This window comes from Homo sapiens, chromosome 5 (assembly GCF_000001405.40).
Source record: "Homo sapiens chromosome 5, GRCh38.p14 Primary Assembly".
Classification (NCBI taxonomy): domain Eukaryota; kingdom Metazoa; phylum Chordata; class Mammalia; order Primates; family Hominidae; genus Homo; species Homo sapiens.
The window spans coordinates 148,811,755-148,828,902 of record NC_000005.10 but is presented as its reverse complement, the minus strand read 5'-3'; the positions used below and the strand labels follow the sequence as shown (position 1 = coordinate 148,828,902).

Here is a 17,148-nt window from a genome sequence, read left to right as displayed (position 1 = left end):
GTGTTTCTGAGGTAACAACACAGAACAATAACCATAGGGAGAGTTGAGCTATACTAAGAGCAGGCAGAACTGATTTGGGGCACAAGTGTCAGGAGAGATGCAGCTTTGCAGCAGCAGACTCAAAGGCAAATGAAAGGGTTAAGCAATCTGTGCATGTCATTCTTGTATCATTCTACATTAAGTCATGGGCAGTAATTACAAGTAGTTACCTGCGGTTTCCAGTGGGGGAGGCAACAGCACTCCAGTCAAGGGGTTTTGGAGAAACAGGTGCAATGAAGGCATGGTCAAACAATTTATTTACTGTAAACTTTAGACTTTGCTCGGGAAAACAACTGAAGCTGCTCCTCAAATCCCTGCCTAAAATACCCCGTGTGAGCAAATAAGAGGAGTGGGGGAAGAGTCCATGTTCACAGCTGAAAGGTCCGAGATACTCAAAATCCTCAAGTCCAAGGGTGTAGGAAGGAAAATCTCCTTCAGATACAAATTACCAGCAGCAATATATTACCCCTAATACTTGAATAGTGAGGTAGATACATGGAAAAGTCATGAAAATATAGCAGACTCAGGTCCTCTAGGACTAAAGCTCTTTAGACATAAACTTACAAATTCCATGCAAAGAGGAACTGAACTGTACAAATAACAAATAATCACTCAAATAAGTTTTCTCTCTTTTTACAGCTTAAAAAAATAAAAAAGGCAGAAGGATGCCCTTCCTTCTGCATATCTCTATACAATTTTACAATTTTATTCTAAGTTTATTACCCTCAAGTTAAATAGTCTGTTTAGTGTTCTGTTGGGGGGGGGGGTCTTTAAAAGTAGAAAAACTGCTTTACAGCAGTGAGTCATTTGTACTACAATTCCTCCCTTGTGAATCAATGTTATCGCTAGGCACAGTACCTTGATGGCCCACAAAGTCTTCCGTGCCTGGGAGGTCTTCACACAGCAGTTTATTTTCTTTCTCCTGTTCCACGTGATATCCACTCTGCTCCCCTGTGTTGCCGTTGCTGGAGTAGCCATTCCCATAGGCCTTCAAAGAAGACCTGCGCAGGCACAGAAGCTCCTGGAAGGCAATCCTGAAATCTGGGCTCCGGCAGTAGATAAGGGGATTGAAACCAGAATTGACATAGCCTATCCAATTTAGGAGGATGTAAACTTCCTTACGGATGAGGTTATCCTGGATCACATGCACAATGTTAACGATGAAGAAGGGCAGCCAGCAGAGGGTGAAAGTGCCCATGATGATGCCTAACGTCTTGAGGGCTTTGTGCTCCTTCAAGCAGAACTTGGAAGATCTGCGGAGTCCATGCCCCGTCCGCCCATCCTGCTCCACCTGGCTAAGGTTCTGGACATGGAAGCGGCCCTCAGATTTGTCAATCTTCTGGAGCTGCCTTTTGGCCTCCTGAAAGACCCTGGAGTAGACGAAGACCATGATCACCAGGGGAACGTAGAAGGACACGATGGAAGAGGCAATGGCATAGGCTTGGTTCGTGAAGAAGTCACAGCAGGTCTCATTGGCATAGCAGTTGATGGCTTCCTGGTGGGTGGCCCGGTACCAGTGCATCTGAATGGGCAAGAAGGAGGTAAGGCCTGACACAATCCACACCATCAGAATGATCACCCGGGCCTTATTCTTGGTCAGCAGGCTCTGGTACTTGAAAGGTGAAGTAATGGCAAAGTAGCGATCCACTGCGATCACGCACAGGGTCTCAATGCTGGCCGTGACGCACAGCACATCAATGGAAGTCCAAAACTCGCACCAGAAGTTGCCAAAAGTCCACATTTTCATAAGAATATGGGCGGCCCCAAAGGGCACCACTGCCAGGCCCATGACCAGATCAGCACAGGCCAGTGAAGTGATGAAGTAGTTGGTGACCGTCTGCAGACGCTCGAACTTGGCAATGGCTGTGATGACCAGCACATTGCCAAACACGATGGCCAGGACGATGAGAGACATGACGATGCCCATGCCCACCACCCACACCTCGTCCCTTTCCTGCGTGACGTCGTGGTCCGGCGCATGGCTTCCATTGGGTGCCAGCAAGAAGGCGCTGCCGTTCCCGGGTTGCCCCATGGCGCGCAGTCTGGCAGGTGAGCGCACTGGCTGGGGGCGCCTCAGCGGGCGGACCCACGGCGGGGCTCTGCGGGCCGCGAGCGGACGCCTGGAAGCCTCATTCAGCGGCTGTGGTGTGGGTGTGGTGGGGACTCGTCCTGCACACTCAGCTTGTCGGGTGCTAGGGGCTCGCGGTGCCTGCCAGTTCCAGCCCGTGCTCTGAAGAAGCCGCTTCGCAGTGCGTTCTGCCCGTTATGTGCACAGGACTTTAGGGGAACTGCCCTCGCCGTGACGTACGGGAACTTTCGGCCAATGGCACGCCGGCAGCCGCGAAGGGGCGAGGCACTCCTCCCCTTTCCCTCCCCTCCCCTCGCCCTCCTTCTCCTGGGGCTGGCCCGGGCGGGGCCCAACTGCTCCCTGGAGGGCGGGCCACCACTGCTTCCCGGCTACCCTGGCTGGCCCCAGAGGGCTAAAGCTGGAGGTGGTGTCCTTACCAGCCAACCCGGGAGCTTTTGGCTCTTCTGTGGCCGCTACCTGCCTGCCCTGGGCGCCTGCGCGGCTTGAGGTCTCAAGGCAGAGGGCAGCACACCGGCACTGCCCCACATTCGGAAGGAAACGAGAGTGCCCACCGAGGCACGCACATACAGGCACAAATACACCCTGGCAGACATGCTCAGACTTATACCGAACCACAGCCATAGACACTGAGACACACCCTCCCAGCTCACCGACATGCACACTCGCGCGCGCTCTCACACAGAAGCCATCCGGCACAAAGTCACCCCTGTCCAACACAGAAACGCGGCCAGAAACAAACACAGAAGCACCCAGAAGCACAAAGACATGGTGACACACACAGAAAGTAAACACACGCTGGCTTGGAGGCATCCAGAGCGACACAGACACGGATGTCTCCATCTGGGTACTCCGAACTTGCCTCACCCGAGCACTGATAATGCTCCCCTCCCAACATACACCCGGTAACCCAGTGTATTCCCTTTCAAACATTTGGCAAGAGCACAGGAGGTGACTTCAACAGCTGCTGATTTCCTCAGCACACTCGCTGTCAAGTACTTTAGGTGCCCTCCTTAGGAATTTGCAGGCATGAAGACAGTTTTACCCTTTGGATTTTATCTGGAGCGGGGGTATGCAAGTATGTATTTTGGGACAGAGAGAGAAAGTTGTGTGCTTTTGTTTTAATTTTTTTGTTGTTTTGTTTTTAACTCTTGAGAGTGTGGCATCACTCACTCATTATCTGTTGAACTGGAGATGCAATGAGAATTCAAACAATTTCTTCAGTAAACCCAATGAAACTAAAAAAAATCCTTTCATCTGCTGGATAGTTTGTTAATCTTTCGGGTTGTGCCATGTGAAATTGCCACCATCTGGCGTCTGTGACTTACCAAAATGGCAAATTCATATGGTTCAGAGTATTAAGAATGTCTTAACATTAAGAACATTTTGAAGCTATAGAAAGCAAAAGATCCTGGCCAATATGGTGTAACTCTTGTCTCTACTAAAAATACAAAAATTAGCCAGGTGTGGTGGCACGTACCTGTAGTCCCAGCTACTCGGGAGGCTGAGACAGGAGAATCTCTTGAACCCGGGAGGTGAAGGTTGCAGTGAGCCGAGATCACGTCACTGCGCTCCAGCCTGGGTGACAGAACAAGACTCCATCTCAAAACAAAACAAAACAAAAAACACAAGATAATTCTCCCTTAAGAAAAAGAAAAAAGTAAGACCAAATCTCAAAAGTAAGATCTTTGTTCATGAAATACTATCCTTTCCATCTGGCATGTGACTTTACTGCTAAAGTGAAATTAATTTTCAGGGTTTGATTTCCCATGTATTAGTGGTGTCTTTGAAAAACTGAAAGTATTTCATGAAGTGTAACTAAACGTACTTTGTAGATTACATAATAACATAACAATGGTTAACATTTATGGACCATTCTGCTATTTGCTTTTCATGCATTATTCTATTTAATCCTTCCCACAGTCCCATGGGGGTGGGGACTATTTTTAGCTTAATTCACAAATGAGGTTCAAAGAGGAAAATGGCTTGCCCAGGGGCAATGGCTGGGCAGTGCCAGAATCTGGATTTGACCCAGGTCTGCCTGAGTCCAAGACCCATCTTTTAATCTTTTCAATGTATTGCATAATTACATGCAGACAGGAGTGATGGATAGGGAGGAAGGGCTACAACTGGAACTGGAATACCCAGGTTCCAGATTCACCAAACTTGGAGCTTTCTAGTTCATTTTTTTTTTTTTTAAGAGAAATCACGAAGTACCTGATTTCCATTGTCTCTAAAGGGGCATAAAGTCACTTCCATTGGGGTAAGCAAGAATTGAATGATATAGTAAGAAATATGAAAATGCTTTTGCTCATATAAGTGTCACACAAGTGTAGTTTGTAAGCGAAGTTTACATAAATTACTTAGTGGTTTAGAATATGTTGTTAGTCTTCTCTACTAGAACAATAAAATACTTTAGGGCAAAAGTAAGTTGGGTGTTTACTCTGGAAGCAAAGCTCAGAAACAGAATTTAACCTACATATCCCCTTTAACATCCTTCATAGCAGAAACTGACTTTTTGCAAGACAGATGCCTTAGAAAACAAGTATTTCCCATAAAATCCACAAATATGAATTAAAGATCTATTATATTCACATAGTTTTCAAAATACACTCACCTCATATTTGTGTTTTCCAAAATTGGCTGTGGCATGATGCATTTTAGGAAGAGGCAGTATTTATTATGCAACAACGTTTCTTTAAATATGCATCTACTCAAATTGTGGAACTAAACCATTTAAAACCTCCTTCCTGTTTGTGAAGCTATGGCATAAATAAGCATATTGTTTAACCTTCCTATAATAAGAAAAGAACAAAGAAAACCCCTTTAAGACAAATATTAACTGATCATGTATTTAGATATACACGTAAGTCACTTAAAAGTTTAACTGAATATTTTGGGAAACTCCTTTTTTAAAACCCACAAATACTAAATCAAGAAGGACTGGCTAGCCATATGCAGAAAACTGAAACTGGACCCCTTCCTTACACCTTATACAAGAATTAACTCAAGATGAATTAAAGACTTAAACGTAAGACCTAAAACCATAAAAACCCTAGAAGAAAATCTAGGCAATAACATCCAGGACATAGGCATGGGCAAAGACTTCATGACTAAAACATCAAAAGCAATGGCAACAAAAGCCAAAATTGACAAATGGGATCTAATTAAACTAAAGAGTTTCTGCACAGCAAAATAAACTATCATCAGGGTGAACAGGCAACCTACAGAAAGGGGGAAAAATTTTGCAATCTATCCATCTGACAAAGGGCTAATATCCAGAATCTACAAAGAACTTAAACAAATTTACAAGAAAAAACAAACAGCCCCATGAAAAAGTGGGCAAAGGATATGAACAGACACTTCTCAAAAGAAGACATTAATGCAGCCAACAAACATATGAAGAAAAGATCATCAGCACTGGTTATTAGTGAAATGCAAATCAAAACCACAATGAAATACCATCTCACACCAGATACAATGGCGATCATTAACACATCAGGAAACAGACCGGGCGCAGTGGCTCATGCCTGTAATCCTAGCACTTTGGGAGGCTGAGGTGGGTGGATCACCTGAGGTCAGGACTTCGAGAGCAGCCTGACCAACATGGTGAAACTTCGTCTCTAATAAAAATACAAAAATTAGCCAGAAGTTGTGGCATGCCTGTAGTCTGACCTACTCTGGGGGCTGAAACAGGAGAATCGCTTGAACCTGGGAGGTGGAGGTTGCAGTGAGCCGAGATTGTGCCACTGCACTCCATCCGGGGTGACACAGTGAGACTCCGTCTCAAAAAAAAAACAGGAAGTCAGGAAACAACAGATGCTGGAAAGGATGTGGAGAAATAGGAACACTTTTACACTGTTGGTAGGAATGTAAATTAGTTCAAACATTGTGGAAGACAGTGTGGCAATCCCTCAAGGATCTAGAACAAGAAATACCATTTGACCCAGCAATCCCATTACCTGGTATATACCCTAAGGATTATAAATCATTCTACTATAAAGACACATGGACATGTATGTTTATTGCAGCACTGTTCACAATAGCAAAGACTTGGAACCAACCCAAATGCCCATCAAGAATAGACTTGATAAAGAAAATGTGGCACATATACACCATGGAATACTGTGCAGCCATAAAAAAGGATGACTTCATGTCTTTTGCAGGGGCATGGATGAAGCTGGAAACCATCATTCTCAGCAAACTAACACAGGAACAGAAAACCAAACACCTCATGTTCTCACTCATAAGTGGGAGTTGAACAATGAGAACACATGGACACAGGGAGAGGAACATCATACACCAGGGCCTGTTTGGGGGTGGGGGCCTAGGGGAGGGATAGCATTAGGAGAAATACTTAAAGTAGATGACAGGTTGATGGGTGCAGCAAACCACCATGGCACATGTATACCTATGTAACAGACCTGCACGTTCTGCACATGTATCCTAGAACTTAAAGCATAATAATAATAAAAAAAGGAGAATCTGCTTATATCAATTAGGAAGTTCTGGGCCTTTGCCCTCCAGCCTTGACGAATGGATGCACGCTCTTTCCCTGCTGCTTCACCAAGCTGGTAGAAATGTCAAGATGTAGTCAGCTAACTAAGAGTCTTTTCTCCTGACCTCCTTTTGTGATTTTAGGTTTAGAGAAAGTTAGACTGGGAAAGAGCTTAATATATCAGTTAATTTATTTCCCCCAAGTTTGCAAATGAGGTTACTGAAGTGAAAAAACAAGAAGTGTCCAGGCCAAAGTGTTAAGGAAAATTAGGAGTCCAGGTCTGCTCATGGCCTCACAAGTTTTCCCTGCCTAATGCTGTTATTTTATTTCCCAGCAGAGGAGTTCGAGTAGCACTGCTTACTGTTCACATGACCTTAGAGAGTTAATGCTTCATTTGAACTGGAAAGTTCTTAGTAGACTAAACGCACCTTTATCTGATGTAAGAAAAAGCAGGCTCTTTTATGGTGATTGATAGCATCTAATTACATATTTTGTCAATCCCTTAAGACACTGATTTGTCGTTCCCAGCCTGTCAAACAGGAATAAAACCTCATATCTGGATTTACCTAATGAATGTCTGAATAGGAGTAAGCTTCCATGGTGCCAGAGCATGCCCTCACACCAATAGCTGGATGCTTAGGAAAATCTTATACTGGGTCTTGGCTTAGACAAGAGTCCTTTCTTGTGTATGATCCTGGAGCACAGAAACATCTGTAGATTTCTTTTCAAACAATAGTTTAAAATGCTTGTCTTTAAAAATGTCTCTGTACAGCATTATCCCATTAAATTTACATTAAATGAGATTAAATGCATGTCAAGTGCTTAGCATACTGCCGTAGAAGAAAAACCTTACTGTTAGTATCTTATTTTTGAATCAAAAAATAGATATAGAATGCATATTGGTCCTATCTAATCGCATGTATGAAATGTATGATAGGATCCTTTGAACATGGATAATTGCTAATTTACCTTTAATTTGGATTGCTGTGAAAAAATAATTGAAAAAACAGACAAAACTTGGTTCTTTAGAAAGAAGAATGATTCTGTAAGTTACTATTATCATTGAGTAATATAGCTAGATGGGATGTCAGCGTTTTTTGAATGAAGCATCTCACAATCTAGTCAGCTTCTTACACAATGCACCCACCAAAACTCAGAGGTATTTTTAGAGAGAGCAAGCTTACCAGCCCCTTTTGCAGGTGCATATTTCTCTAGCTATCCCAGTATTGAACTGAAATCCATTTTCTCACTTCTACCCATGGATCTTAAGTCTGCCCCCTTGAGGCCACCGAAAACAAGTCTCTTCTCTGTCCTAGCTTTTGGGAGAATCCCTTAAAGTTCTCCTTAGCAAACAAAACCTCTTCAGGTTAAACATTCCTTGTTCCCTTGGTTCTAGAGTCCCTTTTACCATCATGGTAGGCCTCTTTTATTCCTGCTTAGGTTTGTCTATGTCTAAACTTAACATCAGTACCTGGAAAGATGCTAGAACAAGTCATCAAACAATCAATTTGCAATCACCTTGGCAACCATAACTTAGAGCAGAGCAACCAGCAAATCTTTCCAAACAGCTGATTATACCAGATGAATTTAATTTCCTGCTACACTAGAGTTTTATGAGACATACTAATAAATTCTCCACATCTTAGAAGCACTGAACAAAAGGAGACGGCATTAAATTAAAGCAGAGGAGACTTCAGTTGGCCGTTCAAAAGACTCCTTCGTCTGAAAAGAATCAGTATTCAAAGAGGTTACACTCTAGCAGCTTTTCTCAAATTGGGATTTTGCAAGAGAATTAAGCCCTACAGAAAATTATTTTTCCCAAAGCTGGGACATATCTCTTACCCTCCTAGGGACATAAGAGAGAAATTAAGTCACTACATACAATGCAATGGATGCCTTAGGGTATAGTGCTTAACTGAATCTTCTTTTGCTGAATCTGAGAGGAATTGCTTGAGTCTCCTTCAGGTATGGGAATGAACACTGTGTGATGGTGAATGTATATATATATATATATATATACACACACACACACACATTCAGATATACATGTATGTACATACACACACACATATATATAATATATATATCTTATATATATATTATATATACTATATATTTTTATATATATATTATATATAATATATATATTATATATGTATGTATATATAATATATATGTGTATATATAATATATGTATGTATATATAATATATATGTATATATATAATATATGTATGTATATATAATATATATGTGTATATATAATATATATGTATATATGTATATATATAATATATATATGTGTGTGTGTGTATATATATATATATATATATATATATGATGGAAGCGGTTTGGTTCAGTGGAGAGGGCATGGATGGGGGATTAGGAGACCTAGGTGTTAGTCCCAAAACAGCTCTCATATTCTATTGTAACCTTAAGCAAGTTGCCTTGTTTCTCAATCTTCATTTATGAAATAGGAAGTTGGGCTTGGTAACATCCAAGGGCCTGTCTACTCTAAACTGAACAAGCCTATAGTGGGAAGAAAGTGCTTTGAGGGCCACTGAGGAGATAAATTTTTGATTCGGAAGAAGTACCATGGAGCTGACAAGCAAAAATTGCCAATATCCTACACAACAACTTGATTATGTTTTTTTATCCTCCATATTTCAGCTATTCACATTTCATCTTTGTGATTTATGCTATTCTGAACAGCAGGTGTTCTACAGTTTTCTAAATTATTGACTCACTTTTAAAACTTTTATGATTTTTAAAATTATTGACTCATTTTTAAAACTCAATGCATTTATTTTTAAAGAAAATTTTATATGACTGCCATTACCACACGTGGAAAACTCGTGTCATTTGCCATAAATAGAAAGTAACCATGAAGACAAAACAATGTTAGTAAATGCTAGCTAGATTTTGTTGCTTGCCAAAGTTCTGAGCCTTAGGCCTGCTCTCTTTTTATTGAAAAGGAAGATTTGCAATACCGTTAGTATTCTAGCATCAGATGGGACTTTCTCCATTTATTTTAAAAGGTTGAAAGAAAATTGAAAAGGGAATAACTCCTAAGTAGTACACTGTTATTTAAAGTACTGTTACTAAATTATTTAAAATAATTTCTGATTACACCTGCAGGTATCTCAGTCCTGGACTTGTGCTAATGGGATACACTTCAGTGATAGAAAGAGCATGGGCTTTGGAGCCAGAGGAAGGAATGTGGGTTCCAATGATGACACTGTCCTTGATCAGCTGTGTGCTTCAGGCAATATGCTTTAGGCTTCTGGGCCTCAGAGGGCTCGAGGGTAAAATGCCTTGGATAGTTGGAAGAAATAGACGGAATATATAAAACACTAGATTTGAAAAGGAAGGGAGAGAACCAAAAGTCATGACAAAAAACGAATCAGCATAACTGGGATTGGCTGGGGGGTAAGGGGGAATGAGTCAAGAGAGTGGAGGAGGCCATTACCAAGCAGGGTGCAAGGAGAGCAGTGGACTGAGTGTGGCTGTAGGACAGGAAGGGGCAATGAATTCAGATATTACCATACTGAATTTGAGGTTTTGGTTGGACATCAAAATGGAAGTTAAAAATATCATAATGATTAGGAGATGAGAAACTGAAGTGATGTGTCTGTGGGTGGTCACGATTATGGTGGAAGCACTGCCTGAATAGCAGCACTCTCAGAGGATGTTTTGGAACGTTAAATGAAATAATGCATTTAAGGAACTTAGCATGCTGTTTCAAAAAAAATTATTTATCATTATTACCATCATCATCATTATCATCATCTTGGATTTCCTGGGACAACCCCAATTTCTGGAAATTACACTAGTTTCTCTAAGGGCAGTTCTTCGAATGAATAAATAAATTGATCTAAGAGGAAAAAAATCCTTTTATATATTAACCTATGAACAGTGGTAACATTTGGGGTGGATTTGGAGGGATGTCCAAATGTTTGATTCTCTAGCAGCTGCCTTGAGATGATTTGTATGCAAGTGATTGAGGAAGGAAAGCTCCCAAAAGAAAACAGTCAGGGAGTGGGAGAAACAGCTCAGAGAAGGGAAGAAGCAAAGGCAAAGACCCAGTGTTGCCTGATCCTAGGAGCAGCTCTGGAGCCTACTGCTTGGTTTCCTCCTTTCTCCAAGTCTTAGTTATAAAATCCTAAACAAGTCACTTAACCTTTCTGTGTCTCACTTTCCTTATCTGTAAATTGGGGCTGTTGATATTATCTCACAACCTCATGAAGTTGTTATGAAGATCAAATGAGTTAAGGTCTGTAAAGTAGTTAGGACTGATGTGGCCCATACTCAGTGCTCAATTAATTATTGATATGAAACCTAGGGGAGCTCTGTTGGCTGTGGCACTCAGGAAACCTTCCACGGGGAAGAGATAGTACCTACAACTTCTTGCATCTAAGTGCAAACTGCCCAGTGCTAGAGCTTAAGAAAGGGAATTGCACAGTATTTTTTAGGCCCTGGAGGAAAGAAGAAGTGAAATGGTTGTGGAGATCAAGCAGCACCTGCCACAGAAGAGGAGGTCAAGGAGCAGGGCTGAAGGGGAAACAATGGGAAGAGATAAAACAGATGATGGCTGAAGGACAGAGGAAGGAAAGGAAACAGGGCAGCCTCTCTCCAAAGCAGTGCCTTCTCTTGAGAGGCACAGAGGGAGAAATCTCACTGGGTCAAGGAGAGAAGGTCAAGGTACCCCGGCTAAGTCTAATCGCTATGAGGTGGTGGAACATGCCCTGGGCCTGGAGAAAGGAGAGTCTTGTCCTGGCCTTCTCACCTGCTGTGTGACTGCCTCTCTCTGGGACTCAATTTCCTCATCTGTAAAGTGATAAAGTCAAATCGAGTGATCTTTAAGATCAGTGCCTGGCACATCATAGTTAATTGGTGGTGGTTAAGGGTTCTGAAAAACAATAAGCCTGTTTTTTGTTTATCATGCGTTATTATATACCAGGAGCTGGGCTTGGCCCCTTACGTACATATTCCCTGCTTTTATTCTTATTTCTGTACAGTTTTCAAAATAGACAGTTATTCCTATTTTACAGATGACAAAACTGAAGTTTAAAGAAATTAAGCAGCCTGCCTCAGGTTACATAGTAGATAATAGGAAGAGAAGGAACCCAGCTCTGTCTAAACAAAAGTCTCACTCTGCACCACTAACACAAGATTCAGATGCAATAGTCCAAGCTCAATCAAGCCTGCATGCTCAGGCTGCTGAAAAGGAAGTTCCCTGGTTGTCAGGGTCTCACAGCTGAGTTTTACCAGACTGCTGGAGCAAAGAGGCAGCAGTTTCCTATCACTTATGGGAAAAATGCCAAATGATCAAGATTTAGGGCCAACTACCCTGGTCACAATTTCTAAAAAGAGAGGGAGGATGTTAGGGCTTAGATATCATTGGCCGTGAGTCTCTGGGCTTTGCTTGTGCCCCTTCCTCCATTCACAGCACTTTCCTTCTTTCCTCATTTCCTGCACAAATCCCCACTCCCAATACACACACACTCACACACACACACACTCACACACACACAATAACCTAAACTTCCTAAAGTACTGTGTAAAGGGCTACAACATATAAAAAAATGAACAAAGAGGCAGGGTCCTTGCCTGTAAGAAACTCACAGGCTAGTAGTGGAGATTAGCACATAAACTTGACTTCCACGTAACATAGTAAATTCTATGATTGAGGTAGGAACTTGAGTTTCTTAGTTCCTTAAATGTCAGGTGTGTATGTAAAGATATTGTTTCAATTTTAGTTGCAATAAAGATTAAGGAAAATTAATTGTTCAGAAAGAGGAAATGGCTAGGAACTTGAATTTATGGGCAACAGAGGATTAATTTAGTACCCTATCTCCCCATGTAAACACTGGGGAGGAGGCATGGAGAAGCCTTCCAAGAAGAGCAGGTGAACATTGGATAACAAAGAATCTTCAGCCAAGAGATGAATGGGGTTGCAAAAAAATAAAATAAAATAAATTGGCACTGTTGTTTGGACACCGATTTGGCAAAACTTATTAAAGTGTAAAATGTATGTATCTTTTCACCTAAAACTTTCATTGCTGGAAATTAGTTCCGTAAATGTCAGGTGTGTATGTGAAGATATTGTTTCAGTTTTGATTGTAATAAAGAAAGATTAAGGAAAATTAATTGTTCAGGAAGAGGAAATGGCTAATAAATTAGTAGAAACTCAGATATTGTGATGTGCAGTTATTAAAAAGAATTAAATAGATCTAAATGCACTGACTCAGGAAGTTGTCCTTGCTTTATAATTAAAATTAAAAAGTAAATTGCATATAAGCTTATAGAAAATGATTCAATTTTTGCTATGTTGGAAAAATATATGTATGAGAGTTTTGAAACACTGCTAAGCCCCTATTTCTAGGTCCTCTTGTAAGCTCATGGGGGCATGGTTAGCAGTTCCATGTGGTACTACTTTTCAAAGATTTACAGTAAGATGGCAAAGATAAAAAGGGTAATGATGGACAGGATGTGTGATAAAGGCTACAAAAGAGGTATAAAAAGGGGATCTTCACTCAATAGACAGCTAGTCTTGTTAGTGCTGTCAGGGAAGATGAAGAGACATCATAAAAAGTTTCATTCTGCTGGTGGCTGTTGAGCAGAGCTTGAAGGATGCCTGTGATTTTGGTAGTAGGGCATGGAAGGAGGGAATGCCAGGGAGAAGGAGCAGCATGAACTGAGGCACAGAAGTGGAAACCTTTGAACTATGCTTGAGAAACAGCAAGTGTTCCAGGAGACCTAGGGCACCAGGTATGTGAGGAGGAGAACAGTAAAATAACAGTAATAGTGAGTTGGGCCAGATATTTTTAAAGCCCCTGAATACTGAGGGGAGGAGTTGAGGCTCAAGACAAATCATGAAGGGGGGTGGAAAGGCCTTGGAAAGCTTTAATCTGGGAAACAGCCAACAATTAGATAAATGAGGCTATTTCACAGAGATGTTCTCAGCAGCCCTGTGCCAAGCAAGTGGATGAGAAGAAGCAAATTTGGTGAGGGGAGGGACATGATGCTGCACCCATGGGTCTGTGCTGTGTGTCAGGGCTTTGTTTCCTCATTTGTAAAGCAAATTTATACTCCTCTCCTGCCAGCTCCCAGACTGGTGGTGAGAATCAAATGGACAAATGTGTGTAAGACTTCGGGACTGACTGCAGGAGAAAAGCTGCGTTCCTATAGGGATTTGTGATTGTTATTACTAGAAAATATAGGACAGACCTCAGACAAGTGGAGCATCCAGGAGACACAGGGAAGGGTGTGTGACAAGCTGTGTGAGCTCATGGAGTGGTTGTCTGGGCAGTGAAGGATGAAAAGGAATGAATGGATCAACATGCAAAATCCACAAACAACAAGAAAATTTTCTGTTTTTAAATATAGAATACCGGCAAATTTAATATCTTATAAAAACTTAAAGTTGGAAACAGACACTGGTAGACCTTATTAGTGTTCCATCAAAATTTGTAGTGCACATACCCTTTGACTCAACAATTCCAATGCTAGGAATTTCTCTTTCAGGTGCATGCACACAAATACATAAAGAATATACATAAAGGATGTTCATTGCAATATTGTTTGACATAACAACAAGAAAAACCAAAAACTGGAACTAACCTAAATGTATGTCAAAGGAGCATGCCTAAATAAATTAATGTATTGACATACTATAGATTATTATGCAAAAATGGATGTTTATAGCAGTATGAATGTTTATAGCAGCAGAATGGTTTATTCATACTTGCCAAAACTTGGAAGCAAGCAAGATGCCCTTCAGTAGGTGAATGGATTAATAAACTGTGGTACAGCCAGACAATGGAATCCCACTCAGCACTAAAAAGAAATGTGCTATCAAGACATGAAAAGACATGGAGGAACCTTAATGTATATCACAAACTGAATGAAACCAATCTGAAAAGGTGACAAACTGTACGATTTCAGCTACTGTCATGCCCTACATAATGATGTTTCAGTCAACTGGACCTCATATACTATGGTGTTCCCATAAGATTATAATGGAGCTAAAAAATCCCTATCACTGGCCAGGCGCGGTGGCTCACGCCTGTAATCCCAGCACTTTGGGAGGCCAAGGTGGGTGGATCACGAGGTCAGGAGATCGAGACCATCCTGGCTAACACAGTGAAACCCCGTCTCTACTAAAAAAAAATACAAAAAATTAGCCAGGTGTGGTGGCGGGCACCTGCAGTCCCAGCTACTTGGGAGGCTGAGGCAGGAGAATGGTGTGAACCTGGGAGGCAGAGCTTGCAGTAAGCAGAGATCGTGCCACTGGACTCCAGCCTGGGTGACAGAGCGAGACTCCTTCTCAAAAAAAAAAAAAAAAAAAATTCCCTATCACCTAGTGACATCATAGACATCATACTGTTATAGCACAATGCATTATTCACCCATTTGTGGTGATGCTGGTGTAAACAAACCAACTGCACTACCAGTCTATAAAAGTATAGCACATAAAATTATGTACCATGCATAATACTTGATAGTGATAATAAAAACTCATGTTTACCACACTGTATTTTAATCATTATTTTAGAGTGTACTCCCTATGAAGAAAAAGTTTATTGCAGAACAATATGTCTTGTTATATTGGCAGCAGCCTCACACGTCTTATTTTACATGTCTCTTAATTGCTTAATTTTCTCTTGATCTTGATTTAATCTCATGTTGTTTTGTTCATCATGGCCCCTAAGTGTACAAAACCCACTGTTAGTATTGTCAGTAAGAGGCCATGTTGAAGGATTGACCTGGAAACAAAATTAAAAGCGACTAGGGGCCACAGAGGTGGAAAATCAGTCTTGGTTTTCACTTGCCAGTCAGGCGTGTCCCATTCCACCAATGCTGCAATCTTATTTGAGATATGGAAATAAAAGGCTCACTCCAACCATGGTGTTCAACTTACTGCTAGTTATGGATGGCTTAAATGAGGGGTGTCCAATCTTTTGGCTTCCCATATTGGAAGAAGAATTGTCTTGGGCCACACTGGAAGGAGGATTGTCTTGGGCCACACATACAATACACTAACACTAACGGTAGCTGATGAGCTAAAAAAAAAATCGCAAAAAATCTCATAATGTTTTAAGAAAGTTTACAAGTTTGTATTGGGCCACATTCAAGCCCTTCCTGGGTTGCAGGTGGCCCACGGGCAGCAGGTTGGACAAGTTTGGCTTAAACAATTCAAGAATTCTTACGTATTACATAATGTGAAAGCGAGTGGTGAATCTGTGAGTGCTGAAGCGAAGGCAACTGAATAATTTTTGGAAACTCTTAATAAGTTGATTGTGGAGCAAAATTACTTGCCAGAGCAAATATGGATGAAATTTCTCTGTTCTGGAAACATGCCTGAAAGGACCTTCGTCCAAAAGGATGCCAAGTCAATGCCAAGTTTCAAGGCTTTTCCTTAAAAGGAACAGCCCTGGCCGGGCGAGGTGGCTCACGCCTGTAATCCCAGCACTTTGGGAGGCCGAGGCGGGCGGATCACGAGGTCAGGAGATCGAGACCATCCTGGCTAACACGGTGAAACCCCGCCTCTACTAAAAATACAAAAAATTAGCCGGGCGTGGTGGCGGGCGCCTGTAGTCCCAGCTACTCGGGAGGCTGAGGCAGGAGAATGGGTGAACCCGGGAGGCAGAGCTTGCAGTGAGCGGAGATGGCGCCATTGCACTCCAGCCCGGGCGACAGAGCGAGACTCCGTCTAAAAAAAAAAAAAAAAAAGGAACAGCCCTGCCTGGGGGCTATGTTTCAGGCTACAAATTGAAATCCTCTGTGATCTGGCACAGTGAAAACCCCAGGGCCTTCAAGCATATCAGTAAGCACACACTGCAGTGTACTACAGGAATAATAAGTTATGAATGATCCAGCTCCTCTTCCAAGATGTCCTCCTTAAACTTTGCCAGTGAAATGGAGAAGTACTGTTTGGGGAATAATATGCTTTCAAGGTTTTGCTTATTTTTGATAATGCTCCTGCACATCCTTCTTTTTTTGGTTATCTTCATTCAACGTCACACTGTTGTCTCTCTCTCCAAGCACCACCCCTTTGTTCCAACTAATGGATCAAAGAGTTATAGCAGCTTTTAAGGCCTGATTACTACCTGAGGAGGACCTTTGCCTAGGCTATTGCTGCAAATAAGAAAGATCCTTTTTAAACACACTGGTGCAATTCTGGAAGGATTACAACATCTATGGCAGCATCAACAACCTTGGTTAAGTTGGGGGTGAAGTCACCAAGGAGTGTGTAAATGCTATCTGGGAAGAGATATTGAAGACATTTGTCCATGACTTCAAAACATTGCTAAGGATGAGGATGTTGCAAAAAAAAATATTCACAAGGCTTTAGTTGAAATGGCAAACAACTTTAAGCTGGATGTGGAGGAGGATGATATTGAGGAGGTCACAGATGTGGTCACTGAGGAATTGACTAATGACGAGTTACTGGAACCAGAACAGAAATGCATAGCAAGAGGAAAGGAAACTACAGGAGAAAAAAAGAAAAGCCCCCAAGGATA

At 41.7% G+C, this 17,148-nt stretch overlaps 1 protein-coding gene across 1 annotated transcript, besides 4 other annotated features; it reads right to left on the bottom strand.

Moving 5' to 3' along the window:
• Positions 280–2,292, bottom strand: ADRB2 (adrenoceptor beta 2). Its single transcript, NM_000024.6, has one exon. It carries the CDS (start codon positions 2,069–2,071, stop codon positions 830–832), a length of 1,242 nt encoding a protein of 413 aa, NP_000015.2. The 5' UTR covers positions 2,072–2,292; the 3' UTR covers positions 280–829.
• Positions 1,392–1,977: an enhancer, noted in NCBI's record as "H3K27ac-H3K4me1 hESC enhancer chr5:148206489-148207074 (GRCh37/hg19 assembly coordinates)". NCBI's record gives its function as "activates a minimal SCP1, AML or CMV promoter by ChIP-STARR-seq in primed H9 embryonic stem cells {active_cell/tissue: H9 hESC(primed)}" and the evidence as "EXISTENCE:reporter gene assay evidence [ECO:0000049][PMID:30033119]".
• Positions 2,024–2,163: a silencer, noted in NCBI's record as "silent region_16492". NCBI's record gives its function as "represses an Ori minimal core promoter by ATAC-STARR-seq in GM12878 lymphoblastoid cells {active_cell/tissue: GM12878}" and the evidence as "EXISTENCE:reporter gene assay evidence [ECO:0000049][PMID:35858748]".
• Positions 2,254–2,563: a silencer, noted in NCBI's record as "silent region_16491". NCBI's record gives its function as "represses an Ori minimal core promoter by ATAC-STARR-seq in GM12878 lymphoblastoid cells {active_cell/tissue: GM12878}" and the evidence as "EXISTENCE:reporter gene assay evidence [ECO:0000049][PMID:35858748]".
• Positions 2,834–2,993: an enhancer, noted in NCBI's record as "active region_23369". NCBI's record gives its function as "activates an Ori minimal core promoter by ATAC-STARR-seq in GM12878 lymphoblastoid cells {active_cell/tissue: GM12878}" and the evidence as "EXISTENCE:reporter gene assay evidence [ECO:0000049][PMID:35858748]".